The following is a 20,306-nucleotide window of genomic DNA, read 5'->3' as shown; positions in this document are numbered from 1 at the left end:
CAGAGACATGTTCAGTCCTGACCATTTAGTTTTAGGCTGTTGCTTCAGCATCATGTTCTTCTTGGTTGGTCTCCTTTAAGCACCTTAAAAAGCACTATATATGCGGCCGGGCCCGGTGGCTCACGCCTGTAATCCCAGCACTTTGGGAGGCCGAGGCAAGTGGATCACCTGAGGTCGGGAGTTCGAGACCAGCCTGACTAACATGGAGAAACCATGTCTCTACTAAAAATGCAAAATTAGCCAGGCGTGGTGGCACATGCCTGTAATCCCAGCTACTTGGGAGGCTGAGGCAGGAGAATCGCTTGGACCTGGGAGGTGGAGGTTGCGGTGAGCCGAGATCACGCCATTGCACTCCAGCCTGGGCAACAAGAGCAAAACTCCATCTCAAAGAAAGAAAGAAAAAAAGGCACTATATATGCAATCAAGGGTGGGGTAGAGGAGTAGGAGGAAGGAGCAGGAGGCATACTCTTCAGTGTATTTTTATATTTTAAAACCATGTGAATGCATTACCCACTCAAATAATTAACCTAAAAATAAAACTTCTAAGCACCTTGTACAGATATATACAAAAATTAGTAATTACAGGCCTGGCATGGTGGCTCACCCCTGTAAACTCAGCACTCTTCCCAAAGGAGGCAGAGGCCACCGATCACTTGAGTCTAGGAGTTTGAAACCAGCCTGGGCAACATGGTAAAACCCCTTCTCTACCGAAAATAAAAAAAATTAGCCAGGTGTGATGACGCGTGCCTGTAATCCCAGCTACTCAGGAGGCTGAGGTGGGAGAATCGCTTGAGCCCAGGAGGCAGAGGTTGAAGTGAGCCAAGATTGTGCCACTGCACTCTGGCCTGGGCCACAGAGTGAGACTCTGTCTCAAAAAAAAAAAAAAAAAATCGTAGTTACAGAAAACGTTTTCATTGAAGAAGAAACTCTTTTATTTTATTATTATTATACTTTAAGTTTTAGGGTACATGTGCACAATGTGCAGGTTAGTTACATATGTATACATGTGCCATGCTGGTGTGCTGCACCCATTAACTTGTCATTTAGCATTAGGTATATCTCCTAAAGCTATCCCTCCCCCCTCCCCCCACCCCACAACAGTCCCCAGAGTGTGATGTTCCCCTTCCTGTGTCCATGTGTTCTCATTGTTCAATTCCCACCTATGAGTGAGAATATGCGGTGTTTGGTTTTTTGTTCTTGCAATAGTTTACTGAGAATGATGATTTCCAATTTCATCCATGTCCCTACAAAGGACATGAACTCATCATTTTTGATGGCTGCATAGTATTCCATGGTGTATATGTGCCACGTTTTCTTAATCCAGTCTATCATCGTTGGACATTTGGGTTGGTTCCGAGTCTTTACTATTGTGAATAGTGCCGCAATAAACATACGTGTGCATGTGTCTTTATAGCAGCATGATTTATAGTCCTTTGGGTATATACCCAGTAATGGGATGGCTGGGTCAAATGGTATTTCTAGTTCTAGATCCCTGAGGAATCGCCACACTGACTTCCACAAGGGTTGAACTAGTTTACAGTCCCACCAACAGTGTAAAAGTGTTCCTGTTTCTCCACATCCTCTCCAGCACCTGTTGTTTCCTGACTTTTTAATGATCGCCATTCTAACTGGTGTGAGATGGTATCTCATTGTGGTTTTGATTTGCATTTCTCTGATGCCCAGTGATGGTGAGCATTTTTTCATGTGTCTTTTGGCTGCATAAATGTCTTCTTTTGAGAAGTGTCTGTTCATGTCCTTTGCCCACTTTTTGATGGGGTTGTTTGTTTTTTTCTTGTAAATTTGTTTGAGTTCATTGTAGATTCTGGATATTAGCCCTTTGTCAGATGAGTAGGTTGCAAAAATTTTCTCCCATTTTGTAGGTTGCCTGTTCACTCTGATGGTAGTTTCTTTTGCTGTGCAGAAGCTCTTTAGTTTAATTAGATCCCATTTGTCAATTTTGGCTTTTGTTGCCATTGCTTTTGGTGTTTTAGACATGAAGTCCTTGCCCATGCCTATGTCCTGAATGGTAATGCCTAGGTTTTCTTCTAGGGTTTTTATGGTTTTAGGTCTAACGTTTAAGTCTTTAATCCATCTTGAATTAATTTTTGTGTAAGGTGTAAGGAAATGATCCAGTTTCAGCTTTCTACATATGGCTAGCCAGTTTTCCCAGCACCATTTATTAAATAGGGAATCCTTTCCCCATTGCTTGTTTTTCTCAGGTTTGTCAAAGATCAGACAGTTGTAGATATGCGGCGTTATTTCCGAGGGCTCTGTTCTGTTCCATTGATCTATATCTCTGTTTTGGTACCAGTACCATACTGTCTTGGTTACTGTAGCCTTGTAGTATAGTTTGAAGTCAGGTACCGTGATGCCTCCAGCTTTGTTCTTTTGGCTTGGGATTGACTTGGCAATGCGGGCTCTTTTTTGGTTCCATATGAACTTTAAAGTAGTTTTTTCCAATTCTATGAAGAAAGTCATTGGTAGCTTGATGGGGATGGCATTGAATCTATAAATTACCTTGGGCAGTATGGCCATTTTCATGATATTGATTCTTCCTACCCATGAGCATGGAATATTCTTCCATTTGTTTGTATCCTCTTTTATTTCATTGAGCAGTGGTTTGTAGTTCTCCTTGACGAGGTCCTTCACATCCCTTGTAAGTTGGATTCCTAGGTATTTTATTCTCTTTGAAGCAACTGTGAATGGGAGTTCACTCATGATTTGGCTCTCTGTTTGTCTGTTATTGGTGTATAAGAATGCTTGTGATTTTTGTACATTGATTTTGTATCCTGAGACTTTGCTGAAGTTGCTTATCAGCTTAAGGAGATTTTGGGCTGAGACAATGGGGTTTTCTAGATATACAATCATGTGATCTGCAAACAGGGACAATTTGACTTCCTCTTCCTAATTGAATACCCTTTATTTCCTTCTCCTGCCTAATTGCCCTGGCCAGAACTTCCAACACTATGTTGAATAGGAGTGGTGAGAGAAGGCATCCTTGTCTTGTGCCAGTTTTCAAAGGGAATGCTTCCAGTTTTTGCCCATTCAGTATGATATTGGCTGTGGGTTTGTCATAGATAGCTCTTATTATTTTGAGATACGTCCCATCAATACCTAATTTATTGAAAGTTTTTAGCATGAAGGGTTGTCGAATTTTGTCAAAGGCCTTTTCTGCATCTATTGAGATAATCATGTGGTTTTTGTCTTTGGTTCTGTTTATATGCTGGATTACATTTATTGATTTGCATATATTGAACCAGCCTTACATCCCAGGAATGAAGCCCACTTGGTCATGGTGGATAAGCTTTTTGATGTGCTGCTGGATTTGGTTTGCCAGTATTTTATTGAGGATTTTTGCATCAATGTTCATCAAGGATATTGGTCTAAAATTCTCTTTTTTGGTTGTGTCTCTGCCCGGCTTTGGTATCAGGATGATGCTGGCCTCATAAAATGAGTTAGGGAGGATTCCCTCTTTTTCTATTGATTGGAATAGTTTCAGAAGGAATGGTACCAGTTCCTCCTTGTACCTCTGGTAGAATTCGGCTGTGAATCCATCTGGTCCTGGACTCTTTTTGGTTGGTAAGCTATTAATTATTGCCACAATTTCAGAGCCTGTTATTGGTCTATTCAGAGAGTCAACTTCTTCCTGGTTTAGTCTTGGGAGGGTGTATGTGTCGAGGAATTTAACCATTTCTTCTAGATTTTCTAGTTTCTTTGCGTAGAGGCGTTTGTAGTATTCTCTGATGATAGTTTGTATTTCTGTGGGATTGGTGGTGATATCCCCTTTATCATTTTTTATTGCGTCTATTTGATTCTTCTCTCTTTTCTGAAGAAGAAAATCTTTAAATGCACCATAGTTATATGATTTGAAAAGAAAATGTACACTACAATGTAGCTGTTCAATAATTCTTAATAAAACTTCTCATTACCTTGATTTATAAATTGGTAGGATTTGTTCTCATCAGAATGTTTTAAAAAATCTATAAAAATAGAAGAAAAGTATCCTCTCATAAAGCTTTATGGGCACTAACAGCAGTTGGAACTTCTCTTACTACTGCCTCATCACTGGTTATATATAAGTTTTAGTACAAAGACTATAAATCTGGCTGGGCTCATGCTCATAATCTCAGCACTTTCGGAGGCAGAGGCGGGAGGATTGTTTAAAGGCAGGATTTAGAAACCAGCCTGAGCAACAAAGTGAGACCCTGTCTTAAAAAAAAAAAAAAAAAAAGAGGCAAATGACCATCTCTGTGACTATCTATCTATCTGTCTATCTATCTATATTTTTCCTTTATTTTTATTTTAAGAGACAGGGTCTCATTGTATCATCTAGGCTGGAGTGGAGTGGTGTAATAGATCACTGCAGCCTTGAACTCCTGGGCTCAAGCGATCCTCCCACCTCAGTCTCCAGAGTAGCTGGTTCTACAGGTACACACCATTGTGCCTGGCTAATTTTTGTATTTTTTTTTGTAGAGATGGGGTCTCACTGTGTTGCCTACGCTGGTCTCACACACCTAGCCTCAAGCTTCCTCCTGTTCCACCCTCCTTAAGTGCTAAGATTACAGTCGTGAGCCACCTCACTAAGCTTCTCTGACTATGTTATTATAGGGTTATTTTAAAGTACACATTATAGGGCCGGGTGGGGTGGCTTACGCCTGTAATCCCAGCACTTTGGGAGGCTGAGGCAGGCAGATCATTTGAGGCCAGGAGTTTGAGACCAACCTGGCCAACATGGTGAAACCCTGTTGGTAGTAGTCTCTACTAAAAATACAAAAATTAGCTGGGCCTGGTGGTGGGTGCCTGTAATCCCAGCTACTTGGGAGGCTGAGACATGAGAATCACTTGAGTCTGGGAGGTGGAGGTTGCAGTGATCTGATATCACACCACTGCACTCCATCCTGCGTGACAGAGGGAGACTGTCTCAAAAAAAAAGTACATATTATAAACTAACAGTGTTCAAGTTCAAGACTGATATGATTGCAGTACAAAGAATGCCCGTTTTGGGGTGCTGGTGACAAGGTTTTACTTACTTACTTGGCATGGGTCCTTTCTATGATTTAATTACATCACCGAGTTACAGCGAGTGTTAGACTATTCTTAATGCAGTTGCATTTTGCCAGGTGTATGTATACTTCTGCTTGTCTCAGGAATGTTCAGAAACACTTAAAAAATTGAGGTATTATCTCATATCACGGACTTTTTTCTTTCCTAATCTAATACAGTTGGCCCTTCATACCTGTGCTCTCTGGATTCATGGATTTAGCCAACTGTAAATCAAAAATATTTAAAAAATAATAATACAAATAATAAAACAATAGCATAACCACTGTTTACATAGCCTGTACATTGTATTAAGTATTATAAGTAACCTAGAGACAATTTGTCTATGGGAGGATGTTCATAGATTGTATGTAAATACTATACAATTTTATATAAGGGATTTGAGTGTCTGGATTTGGAATCTGAGGGGGGTTCCTGGAACCAAGCCCCTGCAGATACCAAGGGACAACTGTACTTTAATTAGAGATTTAGTGCTTTATAATACTGCCTAAAAGGACTTAAAAAGGTAGATAAGGATAGACGGTGAGTCTCTTTCAGTGACAATCTGGGTATCTTCATCATGTTACATATAATTCTGTGTTATTTAATATAGGAATATGCCCCGTGATAACTATGGAATTTTTTTTTTTTTTTTTTGAGACAGAGTGTTGCCCTGTCTCCCAAGCGGGAGTGCAATGGCGCAATCTGGGCTCACAGCAACCTACGCCTCCTGGGTTCAAGCAATTCTCCTGCCTCAGCCTCCCAAGTAGCTGGGATTACAGGCGCCTGCCACCACGCCCGGCTAACTTTTGTATTTTTAGTAGAGACGGGGTTTCGCCTTGTTGGCCATGCTGGTCTCGAACTCCTGACCTTAGGTGATCCGCCCACCTTGGCCTCCCGAAGTGCTGAGATTACAGGCGTGAGCCACCACGCCCAGCCGATAACTATGGATTTTTAGTGATGTAGTAGTAGAATACTAGTATATGTATAGAAAGTTGCCTACACAAAATCCCCGTCTAATCATGAATCATTCTTTTTTTTTTTTGAGGCAGAGTTTTGCTCTTGTTGCTCAGGCTGGAGTGCAATGGCGCATTCTCGGGTCACCGTAACTTCCACCTCAATTCCACAAGCAATTCTCCTGCCTCAGCCTCCTGAGTAGCTGGGATTACAGGCAAGCGCCACCACGCCCAGCTAATTTTGTATTTTTAGTAGAGACGGGATTTCACCATGTTGGTCAGGCTGGTCTCGAACTCCCAACCTCAGGTGATCCACCTGCCTTGGCCCCCCAAAGTGCTGGGATTACAGGTGTGAGCCACCGTGCCTTGCATAAATTATTGTTTTAAGTTGTCTAGTATTCTTTATAAAACAAGAAAAAGAAAAATCAGATATTTCCTTGTAACTACTTTAGTATTCTTTTTTTTTTTTTTTTTTTTTTTGAAACAGAGTCTTGCTGTGTTGCCCAGGCTGGAGTGCAGTGGTGTGATCTCGGCTCACTGCAGCCTCTGCCTCTCATGTCTCAGCCTCCTGAGTATCTGGGATTACAGGTGCACGCCACCACACCCGGCTAATTTTTTGTATTTTTAGTAGAGACGGTTTCACTATGTTGGCCAGACTGGTCTCGAACTCCTGACCTTGTGATCCATCCACCTCGGCCTCCCAAAGTGCTAGGATTACAGATGTGAGCCACTGTGCCCGGCCGCCTAGTGTTCCTTTTTAAAAAGTAACTCATATCCTTATACCAATGAAAACAACCTGGAGAGGGGATTTTTCTTCCATTGAAATAATTTGCTTCTGGCTTCGCCGTCTTCTCCTGTTGTTCTGCTTCACTGGCTGTCACTTGGCATATAGTTTCTTCTATTAATGATAGGAATTCTAGAAAGAGAAAGCAGATGGATTTAGAAATGCGAACTTGGATTATGCTCATGTGTTTTTCCTGTTCTGTTAGAATCTAAGATTTTGGAATGCAGGTAATCCTCTTCATTTTTATGTTTTAATTGTTGAGCTCTGTATTTCAACTCTTAATCTAAACAGCATAACTAAAACTTCTACATCTTCACTGAAATTTGTTTCTGGGCCAGGTGCAGTGGCTCATGCCTGTAATCCCAGCACTGTGGGAAGCTAAGGCGGGCGAATCATTTGAGGTCAGGAGTTTGAAACTAACCTGGTCAACATGGTGAAAACTCATCTCTACTAAAAATACAAAAATTAGCCAGATGTGGTGATGGGCACCTGTAATTCCAGCTACTTGAGAGGCTGAGGCAGGAAAATTGCTTGAGCCCAGGAGGCAGAGGTTACAGTGTGCAGAGATCGCGCCATTGTACTCCAGCCTGGGTGACAGAGCGAGACTCTGTCTGAAGAAAAAATAAAGTAAATTTGTTTCTGTATTAAAGTACTGTAAAAATGTGATTTGGGAGACCCTTGGTCAGATTCCTTTTTATCAGCCTGAATGCCCTGTAAATTGTGATGTCTACTGTACTTAAATAAATCACTTTAAGGCCCATCGGACCTTTCCTGGAAGAAAAATATCTGTGTCTGGAAAGTTTCTTTGAGAGACTTCTCTATGCAGCAAATGTATTTTTGCTAGTTGTGTTAAAACTTTTGTAAAATATTTGTTTTTCTTTTTAAAATATTTAATTATTTATATAAATAATATATGAATATGTGTTTTCAAAAAATATCAATACATTAAAAGTAAGGCTGAACTCCTTTCCCCATACTTAGCTTTTATTTCCTACTTTCCTAGATGAATTGGTGTGTATCTTCCCAGATCTTTTTAAGAAATATGTTTTTAGATACTATGGAATATGTATATTTTCCTCAATTTAATAATATTTTGCATTTTTCATGTTGCTATGAAAGCTTTTTTAATCGTGTGATTAACTTTTGAGTTTTATTTTAGTCAATAAGGAAATTTCAGTGGACTACTTTGTTTCAAATCTTAATCCTTTTTTTAAATCAATATGCAGGCACTGGAAGACATAAAAGGCACATAGCCTTCTATAATTAGCAATACAATTGGTCTTACCAATTTTGAACTGTGTATTTAGGATGTATAGTTACGTTTTATTTATTTATTTAGAATAGAGATGGGGTCTCTCTATTTTGCCCAGGCTGGTCTCAAACTCCTGGCCTCAAGCACTCTTCCCTTCTTGACCTCCCAAAGTGCTGGGATTACAGGCGTGAGCCACCACCCTCAGCCGACAGTTTCTTGTGTATTGTTCCCATTATTATTATTGTATAACAAATTTCCCCAAAACTTAGTTCCATAGAACAACCATTCATTAAGCTGACAGACTGTGTCTGGAATTCACACAGCTTGTCTGCTGATCATTGTTTGTGTTCTTAGCTAGAAGACATAGAAGCTGAGGGCAGGAAGTATCTGGAAACTTGGTTACTCACTGTCTGATAGTTGATGCTGGTGAGTAGCTGGAACCTTAGCTAGTATTGTCAGTTAGAATGTCTACATACGGCCTTTTCATGTGGCTGCTTGGCTTCCTCATAGAATGGTGGCCTGGTTCCAAGGGAGAACATCCCTCCTGAGAGGAGATGGGAGAGGGAGAGAACTTAGTGTAAGAAGTCATAACACCTTTCCTATATTCTTGGGTGTAGCAGTCACAGGCCTGTCCAGGTTCAAGAGGAGGGCAAACAGATTTCTCTCTTTCCTTCCTCCCTCTTTCCTTTCTTCTTCCTTCTTCCTCCTTTCTTCTTTGACAGGGTCTTGCTCTGTCACCCAGGATGGAGGGCAATGGCTTGACCATAGCCTGGGCTCAAGCGTTCCTCCTGCCTTGACCTCCCAAAGTGTTAGGATTACAGGCATGAGCCACAGAGTCTGGCCAGATTTCACCTCTCAATGGGGAGTGGCAAGATTCTAGAAGAGCATGTTTGGCTTTAATTCTGTGGCTGTTTTTGGAAAGTATAGACACACATCTTTCTAGAATTTTTTTTTTTTTTTTTTTTTTTTTTGAGATGGAGCCTCACTCTGTCTCCCAGGCTGGAGTGCAGTGGCGCGATCTTGGCTCCTGCAAGCTCCACGTCCCTGTTTCATGCCATTCTTCTGCCTCAGCCTCCCGAGTAGCTGGGACTACAGGCACCCGCCACCATGCCTGGCTAATTTTTTTGTATTTTTAGTAGAGACGGGGTTTCACTGTGTTAGCCAGGATGGTCTCGATCTCCTGACCTCGTGATCCACCCACCTCGGCCTCCCAAAGTGCTGGGATTACAGGCGTGAGCCACCGTGCCTGGCTCCTTCTAGAAATTTAATATGCATATACGTATGTATATAGTTTATATTTTTGTTTTACATAGAAGGGATCATAGTATATATACATGCTATGGACTAAATGTTTGTGTACCTTCCCCCCAAAATTCATATGTTGAATTCCCTAATCCCCAATGTGCTAGCATTTGGAGGTGGGACCTTTGGAAGGTAATGAGTTCATGAGGGTAGAGGCCTTGTGATAGGATTAGTGCCCATATTAGAAGAGACAGAAAAGAGATGATCCTCTTCTCTACCATGTGAGGATGGAGGAAGAAGACCTCTATCTACAAGCCAGTAAGAGGACCCACACTGGGAACCAAATCAGCTAGAACTTTGATCTTGGATTTCCCAGCCTTCATAGTTGTCAGAAATAAATGTTTGTATGTAAGCTACCTGGCCCATAGTATTTGTTATTGCAGCCCAAACTAAGACAAAAAGTGTTACTAAAAAGTGGGATGCTACTATAACAAATACCTAAAAACGGGTAAGTGACTTTGCAACTGTGTAATGGATATAGGCTGGAAGAGTTTTTAAGTGCATGCTAGAACAAGCTGATATTTGCTGTGAGGGACTGTTGGTAGAAGTAAGGGCATTAAAGGTGATTTTGGAGAGAGCTCAGCAAGAAGAGAGGAGAATGGTAGAGCAAGCTTCCATCTTACAGAATACATAAATAATCATGTACAGAATTTTAGTAGAAAATAAAGGCCATTCTGATATGGTCTTAGAAATGAAGAACGTTACTGGACAATGGAGAAAAGGCAATCTTTGTTACAAAGTAGCAAAGAACTTGGCTGAATTATGTTTGTGTTCTAGTGTTTTCTGGGTGGGAGGTAGAACTTGTGAGTGATGAAGTTGGATACTTAGCTGAGGAGATTTCTAAGCAAAATGTTGAAGGAATGGCTTGGTTCCTCCTGATTGTTTATAGTAAAAATTGAAAAGAGGGAAGCCAATTGAAGATGGAATTATTAAGCAAAAAGGAACCACAACTTAAAGATTTGGAAAATTCTCAGCCTGTCCACATAACAAAAAGTAAGAAAGTTCACAAGAGAACACTAAAGGTATGGTAGACTAACCACTTGATAAGATTTGTGTGGGTGAGAACTGCAGAATCAAATCACCAGCCCCCAGCAGGAAACTGCCAGGTTGAACTAAAAGGGAGGGAGACTGGATGGAATGAAGGAGAAATAGAGGTCGGAGTTCTTTTATTTTACAGGACAAGACCGTAGAGCTATTGGGCTGCAAGTGTACATTATTCTTCAAGGCAAGGGAAGAATGATCTGGACATTATTCTTCATGACAAGGGAAGAGCGACCTTAACAGCAATTCAGAGATGATCAGGGCTGCCTCTTTGGTTTCAAAGGGGGTGGACCATCCCTTCTGTATCAGCACACCGGTTGGCCTCTGCCCAAAGCTTTTTGGTCATCAAAGCCTTGGGGTTGGTGCTACCTGGAGCCTTGCAGGACAATACATTTCTGCAACTTTTTTTTTTCCCACTTCGTACATCTTCACTTTAATCTTTTGATATTAGCAAATCAAAGTCAGGCTCCTTTTTAGCAGTGTCATAGTATTGGAATTCTCTGTCTTTTCTTTTAATAATAGAAGTAGGCTGGGCGCAGTGGCTCATGCCTGTAATCCCAGCACTTTGGGAGGCCAAGGCGGGCAGATCACCTGAGGTCGGGAGTTCGAGACCAGACTTACCAACATGGAGAAACCCCGTCTCTACTAAAAATACAAAAATTAGCTGGGCATGGTGGCGCACGCCTGTAATCCCAGCTACTCAGGAGGCTGAGGCAGGAGAATCACTTGAACCTGGGAGGTGGAGGTTGCAGTGAGCCAAGATTGCACCACTGCACTCCAGCCTGGGCAACAAGAGCAAAACTCTGTCTCTAATAATAATAATAATAATAATAGAAGTAATATGTGAATATCTAGACCATGAAAGCCTGAAATAATGTAGAAATATGGAGCAAAATGTAAACATGTCCCTTTCTATTGCTCCCCACTCATCCATCCCACTTCATGGCCACTATTACTTGTTTTGTCAGAGGTCACATTAAGTTTGTGGACCTTTTAGTCACATTTCTAGGCACTTATATACTTTTATATATAATTGAAATAAACTGTTTCATAGGGTATGGCTATGCATTTACTGTTATGTCTTTAATGACAGTAAATTGCATCATTTTTGGTTCAATAAAGTAAACTCAAATTCAGAATGTGCTTTGTAGAGCTGGGGAAAGTATATGAGAAAATCTGGAGTGGTTGCTCAACCTGCATATCATTTAGGCAAAGTAGCCCAACCTATTAGTGTTAGACATTCAAAATATATTTAGATTTGCCTTTAACCTGATTATTTGTAGTCTTTACAAAAATTTTTTTTTCTTTTTTCTTTTTTTTTTTTTTTTTTGACAAGGTCCTGCTTGATTACCCAGGCTGGAGTGCAGTTGCATGATCTTGGTTTACTGCAACCTCTGCCTCCTAGGTTCAAACCGTCCTCCCACCTCAGCCTCCCAAGTAGCTGGGACTATAGATGTGTGCCACCACACCCAGCTAATTTTTGTATTTCTTGTAGAGACAGGGTCTCCCTATATTGCCCAGGCTGGTCTTGAACTCCTGGGCTCAAGCAATTTGCCCACCTAGGCCTCCTAAATTATTGGGAATACAGGCATGAGCCACTGCGCCCAGCCTGTTTGTCTTTTTTTTTTTTTTTTTTTTTTTTGAGACAGTGTCTTACTCTGTCGCTCAGGCTGGAGTGCAGTGGCAAGATCTCGGCTCACTGCAAACTCCACCTCCCAGGTTCAAGCAATTCTCCTGCCTCAGCCTCCTGAGTAGCTGGGATTATAGGTGCACACCAGCATGCCCGGCTAATTTTTATATTTTTAGTAGAGACAAGGTTTCACCATGTTGGCCAGGCTGGTCTCAAACTTCTGACCTCAACTGATCCACCTGCCTTGGCCTCCCAAAGTTCGAGGATTACAGGTGTGAGCCACTGTGCCTAGTCCAAATTATTTTCATTATGGAGTACTGCATAGAGATGTTACTTAATCAAAATGTGATCAGATGTAGTATTAGGTTCTAGCTGGTTTCCCAGTTGAAACACTGGGCTTCTGCAGAGATGTGATCATCCAGGAAGACTTGAATTGAACGTACTGTATTTGTATTTCATCATTAAAAAAAATTCTCCTATTGTAGTTTGGCTATGTGTATCAAAACTTACAGTGTGCATACTTGTGTTCTAGCAATTCTTCCCTGAGGAGATTAATCAGGTGTGTAAGAATGTATTTATAGGAACATATACACAGCATTGTTTTTCATATATAAATTTGGAAATGATGAAATTAAATGAAATACTGGTGCAGCATTGAAAGATAAGTTTGAGCTATTTGGAGGCATCAGTTTGTGACTGATTGGTAAGTGTGGCAGAAAGAGCAAAATAACTCAGGGTCTTATCTTGTAAAATCTGTGCCATCATATATACTGTGTTAGAAAAATGTGTACACGTATGTGGAACACATTAACTAAAATGGTAACAGAATGGTTATCATTGGATGGTGGGATTTTGTCCATTTTGTTCACTGCTTTATCCATAACAACTAGAACAATAGGGAGCCACATTAGAAAGAAGGTCATGTTTGCGTTATTTTTATAGGGGCTTTATGTTTTATTTTCCATGTTGGGCTCCTTCTAGATCTTTGGATCTGTAATACAGCCTCCCTCGTTTTGTGACTATGTTTCCAAACCCCAATTTGGAATGAATGACCTGAAGCTGATTATCGGAATACTTAAAACCAGTTAGAATAATAGCCCAGGCAAGTTGGCTCACACCTGTAATCTTAACACTTTGGGAGTCTGAGGTGGGAAGATTGCTTGAGCCCAGGAGTTTGAGACCAGCCTGGGCAACACAGTGAGACCTTGTCTCTAAAAATAATAAAATAAAATAAAAAATTAGCCCAGTGTGGTGGCATGTGCCTATAGTCCCAACAACTCAGGAAGCTGAGGTGGGAGGATTGCTTAAGCCTGGGAGGTCGAGGCTGCAGTGAGCCATGATTGTGCCACTGCACACCAGCCAGGGCAACAGAGTGACACCCTGTCTCTTAAAAAAACAAAACGGCTGGATGCGGTGGCTCACGCGTGTAATCCCAGTACTTTGGGAGGCTGAGGCGGGTGGAACATCTGAGATCAGGAGTTCAAAACCAGCCTGGCCAACATGGCAAAACCCTGAACTACTAAAAATATAAAAATTAGCCGGGTGTGATGGTGGGTGCCTGTAATCCCAGCTACTTGGGAGGCTGAGGCACGAGAATTTTGGACCCGGGAGGCGGAGGTTGTGGTGAGCTGAGATCTTGCCACCACAATCCGGCCTGGGTGAAAAGAGCGAGACTCTGTTGCAAAAATAAATAAATAAAAATAAAAAATTAAAGGTGAAACACAAATGCCATTTAAATGAATACTGAAGTAGAATTTAGCTACTGGTGGACCAGTACAACTGGAATATATAGCTGGTCTTTTTCTATAAGACCCTTTCTTTTTTTTTTTGAAATGGAGTTTCACTCTTGTTGCCCAGGCTGGAGTGCATTGGCACAGTCTTGGCTCACTGCAACCTCTGCCTCCTGGGTTCAAGCGATTCTCCTGCCTCAGCCTCCCAAGTAGCTGGGATTACAGCCGTGCACCACCACACCCAGCTAATTTCGTATTTTTAGTAGAGACAGGGTTTCACCATGTTGGTCAGGCTGGTCTGGAACTTCTGACCTCAAGTGATCCACCTGCCTCGGCTTCCCAAAGTGCTGGGATTACAGGCATAAGCCACCGTGCCCGGCCAAGACCCTTTCATATTCAAAAAGAATCCACTTCTTCCCCTTTTTTCTCTTATGAATTATTTGCTGCAAAGGAAAGATCCAGTTAAATACAAGTTATGGGGGAAGCCAGACAACACAGATACTGTAGGCAAAGTGATAATAACCTTTAGGTTTCAGAGGGTACTCTTCTTCCAGTGTGTTGGTTATAGTTTATCTAAGAAAAGACATTTGCTAGACCAGGCGCGGTGGCTCATTCCTGTAATCCCAGCACTTTGGGAGGCCGAGGCGGGCAGATCACCTGAGGTCGGGAGTTTGAGACCAGCCTGACCAACATGGAGAAACCCTGTCTCTTCTAAAAACACAAAACTAGCTGGCTGTGGTGACACATGCCTGCAATCCCAGCCACTTGGGAGGCTGAGGCAGGAGAATCACTTGAATCCAGGAGGCGGAGGTTGCAGTGAGCAGAGATCGTGCCATTGCACTCCAGCCTGGGCAACAAGAGTGAAACTCAGTCTCAAAAAAAAAAAAAAAGAAAAGACATTTGCTGGGCATGGTGGCTCACGCCTGTAATCCCAGCACTTTGGAAGGCCCAGGTGTGTGGATTCCTTGAGCTCAGGAGTTCAAGACCAACCTGGGCCACATGGTGAAACTCCGTCTCTACTAAAAATACAAAAACAGCCAGGTGTGGTGGTTGTGCGCCTGAGGTTCGAGCTACTCCTGTGGTCCCAGCTGCTCAGGAGGCTGAGGGAGGCTGAGGATCGTCACTTGAGCTTGGTGCTGGGGTAGGGGGTGGGTGGGGGTGCAGAGGTTGCAGTGAGCCTAGATCACACCACTGCACTCCAGCCTGGGTGACAGATCAAGACCCTGTCTCAAAAAAAAAAAAAAAGAAAAAGAAAAGGAAAAAAACGAAAAAAGAAAAGACACCTACTGAGTTAAAGTTAACCAGTGGAAATCTGTGTGTGTGTCTTTTAATTCTGATGATCCTAAGAAGTTATGATAATTAAGTAGCCTGCAAAAACAAAAGCAAAAGTATGATTTCAGGTTCTGGTTAAAGTGAAGAGACAAACTGTGTAAAACTCCATTGTTAACAGGCAGATCTGCTCATTAATAGAGAAGGAACTTAAACATTTGAATTTTAGAGGGAGAATATAAAATGTTTAGGCATAAAATATTTAAAAAACATTTTGTTGGACAGTATAGAGAAAAATGCACAATATAAATAATACTAAAATCCAAAATATTAAAGACTAAGGTATTTTAAAGGTTTTTTTCCTTCTTAAGCAGAAAGGCCAAATTGAAGATTAAGGATAAGTTCTAGGATGATGTACAATAAATTATGCTCATTAGGAAACACTAGAGTTCTGTTAAGACACTTTCTTAATTAAGCACGTGATATTAGCTATAATATTGCAATGATGTGAAAAAATTCTGTGGGCCATGAGCTGAGTTCTTTATGTACATTAATATTTTATTTATATATTTAATTATATCACTTAATCCTCATGGTGAATTTAAGGTTGATAATAGGTTGTGTTTATCTTTTTCATAGTTTGAAACTTTGCCTTAGAAACAGAGACAGGGGCTGGGTGCGGTAGCTCACACCTGTAATCCCAGCACTTTGAGAGGCTGAGGTGGGCGGATCATGAGGTCAGGAGTTCAAGACCAGCCTGACCAACATGGTGAAACCCCGTCTCTACTGAAAATACAAAAATTAGCTGGGCCTGGTGGCACACACCTGTAATCCCAGCTACTTGGGAGGCTGAGGCAGGAGAATTGCTTGAACCTGGGAGGCAGAGGTTGCAGTAAGCCAAGATCGCACCACTGTACTCCAGCCTCGCCTGGGTGACAGAGTGAGACTCCATCTAAAAAAAAAAAGAAAGAAAGAAACAGAGACAAGATTTGAACCCAGATACCTCTGACTTTTTGGCTGGGTGTGTTGGTTTATACCTGTAATCCCAGCACTTTGGGAGGCCAAGGTGGGAGGATTCCTTGAGCCTAGAAGTTGGAGAACAGCCTGGACAGCATAGGGAGACTGTCGCTACAAAAATAAAAATTTAAAAACCGGGTGTTGGTGGCACGCATCTGTGGTCCCCACTACTCAGGAGGCTTGAGGTGGGAGGATCACATCAGCCTGGGAGGTCAAGGCTGAGGTGAGTTGTAATCAAGCCACTACACTAGCTCGGGTGACAGAGTGAAACCCTGTCTCAAAATAATAATAATAATAAAACCACACACAAAATATTTTTTAACCACATTTTTGTACCTCACTGTTTGTCAGTTCATTGGCAGCTCTGTTGAATGAGAAAGAAGAACATCTCCAACACATATGAGGTTCTTGAGCAGATGTTAAAGAATAGCAATTAAGTTCTTGTTTAGGTATGTTTCAGTAACTCTAGAGAGAGATTTTTTGTTCTTTGTAATTTTTTTTCGAAGAATTTCCCCAGCCTAAGTTTCCTCATGGAAGCTACATTTGTCCACTTGTTGTCATTAGAATCTTCTTTGATCTACATTTCCCCCTAAGCCCATGACTGCCAAGGCTTTCTTTCTTTTTTTTTTTTTTTGAGACGGAGTCTCACTCTGTCACCCAGGCTGGAGTACAGTGGCATGGTCTCGGCTCACTGCAACCTCTGCCTCCGGGGTTCAAGCGATTCTCCTGCCTCAGCCTCCCAAGCAGCTGGGACTACTGGTGCGCACCACCACACTTGGCTAATTTTTGTATTTTTTAGTAGAAATGGGGTTGCACCATGTTGGCCAGGTTGGTCTCAAACTCCTGACCTCAAGTGATCTGCCCACCTCGGCCTTTCAAAGCGCTGGGATTACAAGCATGAGCCCTGTTCCCGGCCTGCCAAGGCTTTCTAATAGGCTTTCTAGATATCCTATTGGACTATTTTAGATTCTATACTTTTCCCTAGCATATCTCTGTGGCAAGTCTTCCATTCTCTTAATCCCTTTTTGTGCCTTTTTCTTTTCTTTTTTTTCTTTTTTTTTTTTTTTGGAGGCACTGTCTCACTGTGTTGTCCAGACTGGAGTGCAGTGGCACAAACACAGCTCACAGCATCCTCGACATCCTGGGCTCAAGCAGTTCTTCCACCTCAGCCTCCTGAGTAGCTGGGATTACAGGTGCACATCACCACATCCAGATAATATTTTAACTTTTTTGTAGAGATGGGGTCTTTCCATGTTGCCCAGGCTGTTCTCAAACTCCTGAGCTCAAGCGATCTTCCCACCTCAGCCTCCCAAAATGCTGGGATTACAGGGATGAGCCACTGCACCCGGCCTTTTATGTGTTTTAATCTCTTTTTCTTCTGCCTCTTCTCCCACTGAAGAAATAACTACTTCATATTATTCTACTCATATTATTCTATTACTGCTTTACTCATATTATGCAGTCTCTGCTTTTTTTTTTTTTTTTGACAGTCTCACTGTGTTGCCCAGGCTGGAGTGCAGTGGTATGATCTCGGCTCACTGCAACCTCCATTTCCCCAGGTTCAAGCGATTCTGCTGCCTCAGCCTCCCGAGTAGCTGGGATTACAGGTGTGCGCCACCACGCCTGGCTAATTGTTGTATTTTTAGTAGAGACAGGGTTACACCATTTTGGCCAGGCTTGTCTCGAACTCCTGACCTCAGGCGATCCACCTGCCTCGACCTCCCAAATTGCTGGGATTACAAGCGTGAGTCACCGTGCCCAGCCCATTCTCTGCTATTTTGAAGTTTCCTCACCTCAAGAACTTTCACGACCATCCTTGTTTAGATGGGGAGATCGAACTCTACTTTTACTTCTTTCTTGGCATCAGTGTTAACATGAATGGTTTCCTGGACAGCAACTACTGTCAGTAAACTGTCCACATGTGGCACCCATCCCCACATTACTATAATATAGAAGATATTTAAAGTCTATATTTCTATAGATACTGTGGGTATTATCTTTGGTTTTTCTCTAATTGTTGTTTTTACAAATTGTTTCCCTTTGGAGTAGACAAAATCAACATCAGTGGTACCAATGTTTTCTCCAAGTAAGTCAAGAGAAAATTGAGATACATTGTAAATTAGGCCTCTCTGCTTAAGAGTTGCATCAAAACTGTGAGATTCTCAAGTTGGGTGTGGTAGCACACACCTGTGGTACCAGCTACTTGGGAGCCTGGGGCGGGAGGATTGCTTGAGCCTGGGAAGTGTAGGCTGCAGTGAGCTATGATTGTGCTGCTGCACTTCAGCCTGGGCACCAGAGAAGACCTTGTTTCTTAAAAAACAAACAAAATTCCCAGAACTAAAATTCTCCTGTTTTACTGGATACTGGACACATGGTTTTTGAATGCTTTAAAAGACTACGATTTACCCATTGTAGGTGTTTGAATTCAACACATTGAATATACATTCCAGCACACTCTGCTTTGCCAAAAACCTTAAGTCCTGGACTAGGAATATGGTTGTGGTACTTCGGCATTTCATTATTCAGAGCCTAGAGCATAGCCTGTTTGTGAATATGAGGAATGTAGCCGTCAAGCCACAGAAGGGCAGGATCCAACACCAGCTCTTGGCAAGATGTCCCAAAGACTTACCGTAGCTTGGTCTAAGATGAAGTTGCTTCTCTTAGCCAGGCTCCTGATAATTTCTTTCATTCTTGATTGTGTTTGTGAGTACGTGTACAAAGGCACTCATTTTTCATTTAAAACTGAAAGGAGGCCAAGCACAGTGGCTCACACCTAAATCCCAGCACTTTAGGAGGCCGAAGTGGGAGGATCACTTGAGGTCACGAGTTCAAGACCAGCCTGGCCAACATGGTGAAACCCTGTGTCTCCTAAAAATACAAAAATTAGCTGGGTGTGATGGTGCAGGTCTGTAATCTCAGCTACTTGGGAGGCTGAGGCAGGAGAATCACTTGAATCCAGGAGGTGGAGGTTGCAGTGAGCCGAGATTGTATCACTGTACTCCAGCCTGGGAGACAGAGTCAGACTCCGTCTCAAAAAAAAAAAAAAAGGCTGAAAGGGCTCCTGTCTGCCCAGCAGTGAGCTAAAAACTGTATTCTTTTCTACTGAAAGGCATAATTTGACTCCTGCTTTTCTGGCTCCCTTTACCTAGGAGAAACACTTATGAACCAACACACCTTCCATATTAAACTGGCATAATTTCTCTAATTACCAATTGTGTGTGAGTAATTGGTTCTATAGATACTCATATAGCAGGAAAAATTGTACATTACTTAGCATCAAAGGGAAGCCTCCTCCTCCTCCTCCTGGTGGAAGGAGGAGAGATTAGTGCTGAAGAAAAACACTGGTCATGTTCACCTGCCTTGGCCTCCCAAAGTGCTAATTTTAACATTTGTGTTAAAATATATCAAATATTATATAATGGAAAAAATATTCCTATTCCACAGTGTTAAAAATATATAGGTATTCCAGCCAGGTGTGGTGGCTCATGACTGTAATCCCAGCACTTTGGGAGGCCGAGGCGGGCAGATCACTGGAGGTCAGGAGTTCGAGACCAGCCTGGCCAATATGGTGAAACCCTATCTCTACTGAAAATACAAAATTAGCCGGGCGTGATGGCAGGCGCCTGTAATCCCAGCTCCCTGGGAGGCTGAGGCAGGAGAATCGCTTGAACCCAGGAGGCGGAGGTTGCCATGAGCTGAGATTGTGCCACTGCACTGCACGCCAGCCTAGGCAACAGAGCAAGACTCCGTCTCAAAAAAAAAAAAAAAAAAAAAAAAAAAAAAAAAAAAAAAATATATATATATATATATATATATACACATACACACACACATAGGTATAAGTTATATACATTGGTAGGTCTTAGAGTTGGAGGCAGTCAGAGAAATTACAACATGACATTGTGATGATCTGAGCCTTTGTAGAGAGCATTTGGTTCTGAGGTTAACTACATGCAGCAGCTAAGTAACATGTCTCAGACGCTTCAACCACAGTGGCCTTTTGGTTCCTTGATACTGACTCACAGGCAGGGCACCTTGTCACCTAGGGACCTCCTAGTCATGTACTTTGCCTGAAATGTGCCTACCCTTGATCTTTACTATCTTGTAAATAGCACTTAAGTGTCACTGCCTCTGTCTTCCTAATTTAAAGTGGCTACTCAACTGCCCTTCTGTCATACCATGCTATTTTCATTCTCTGCATGGGTCTCTGACATTTAAAAAATATGTGTTCATTCCAGAAGCTTTGTAGAACGTGTTATATAAAAAGAAAGAAAAAAAAAAAAGA

At 42.0% G+C, this 20,306-nt stretch overlaps 1 protein-coding gene and 1 long non-coding RNA gene across 8 annotated transcripts in view; one reads left to right on the top strand and one right to left on the bottom strand.

The window, feature by feature from the left end:
* Positions 1 to 20,306, top strand: part of SMIM14 (small integral membrane protein 14) — a 92,530-nt gene that overhangs the window by 42,367 nt on the left and 29,857 nt on the right. The window lies entirely within an intron of this gene.
* Positions 1,792 to 20,306, bottom strand: part of UGDH-AS1 (UGDH antisense RNA 1) — a 66,869-nt gene continuing 48,354 nt past the window's right edge. The window contains exons 3-5 of the long non-coding RNA NR_047679.1: positions 8,440 to 8,576; positions 6,780 to 6,912; positions 1,792 to 3,826 (exon numbers count right to left, since the gene is read on the bottom strand). This is a non-coding gene — a long non-coding RNA (UGDH antisense RNA 1). The remainder of the gene's footprint in view (positions 3,827 to 6,779; positions 6,913 to 8,439; positions 8,577 to 20,306) is intronic.

Source organism: Homo sapiens, chromosome 4 (genome assembly GCF_000001405.40).
Source record: "Homo sapiens chromosome 4, GRCh38.p14 Primary Assembly".
NCBI lineage: Eukaryota > Metazoa > Chordata > Mammalia > Primates > Hominidae > Homo > Homo sapiens.
The sequence above is the reverse complement of the archived record's forward strand: the minus strand, read 5'-3'. Positions and strand labels throughout refer to the sequence as shown.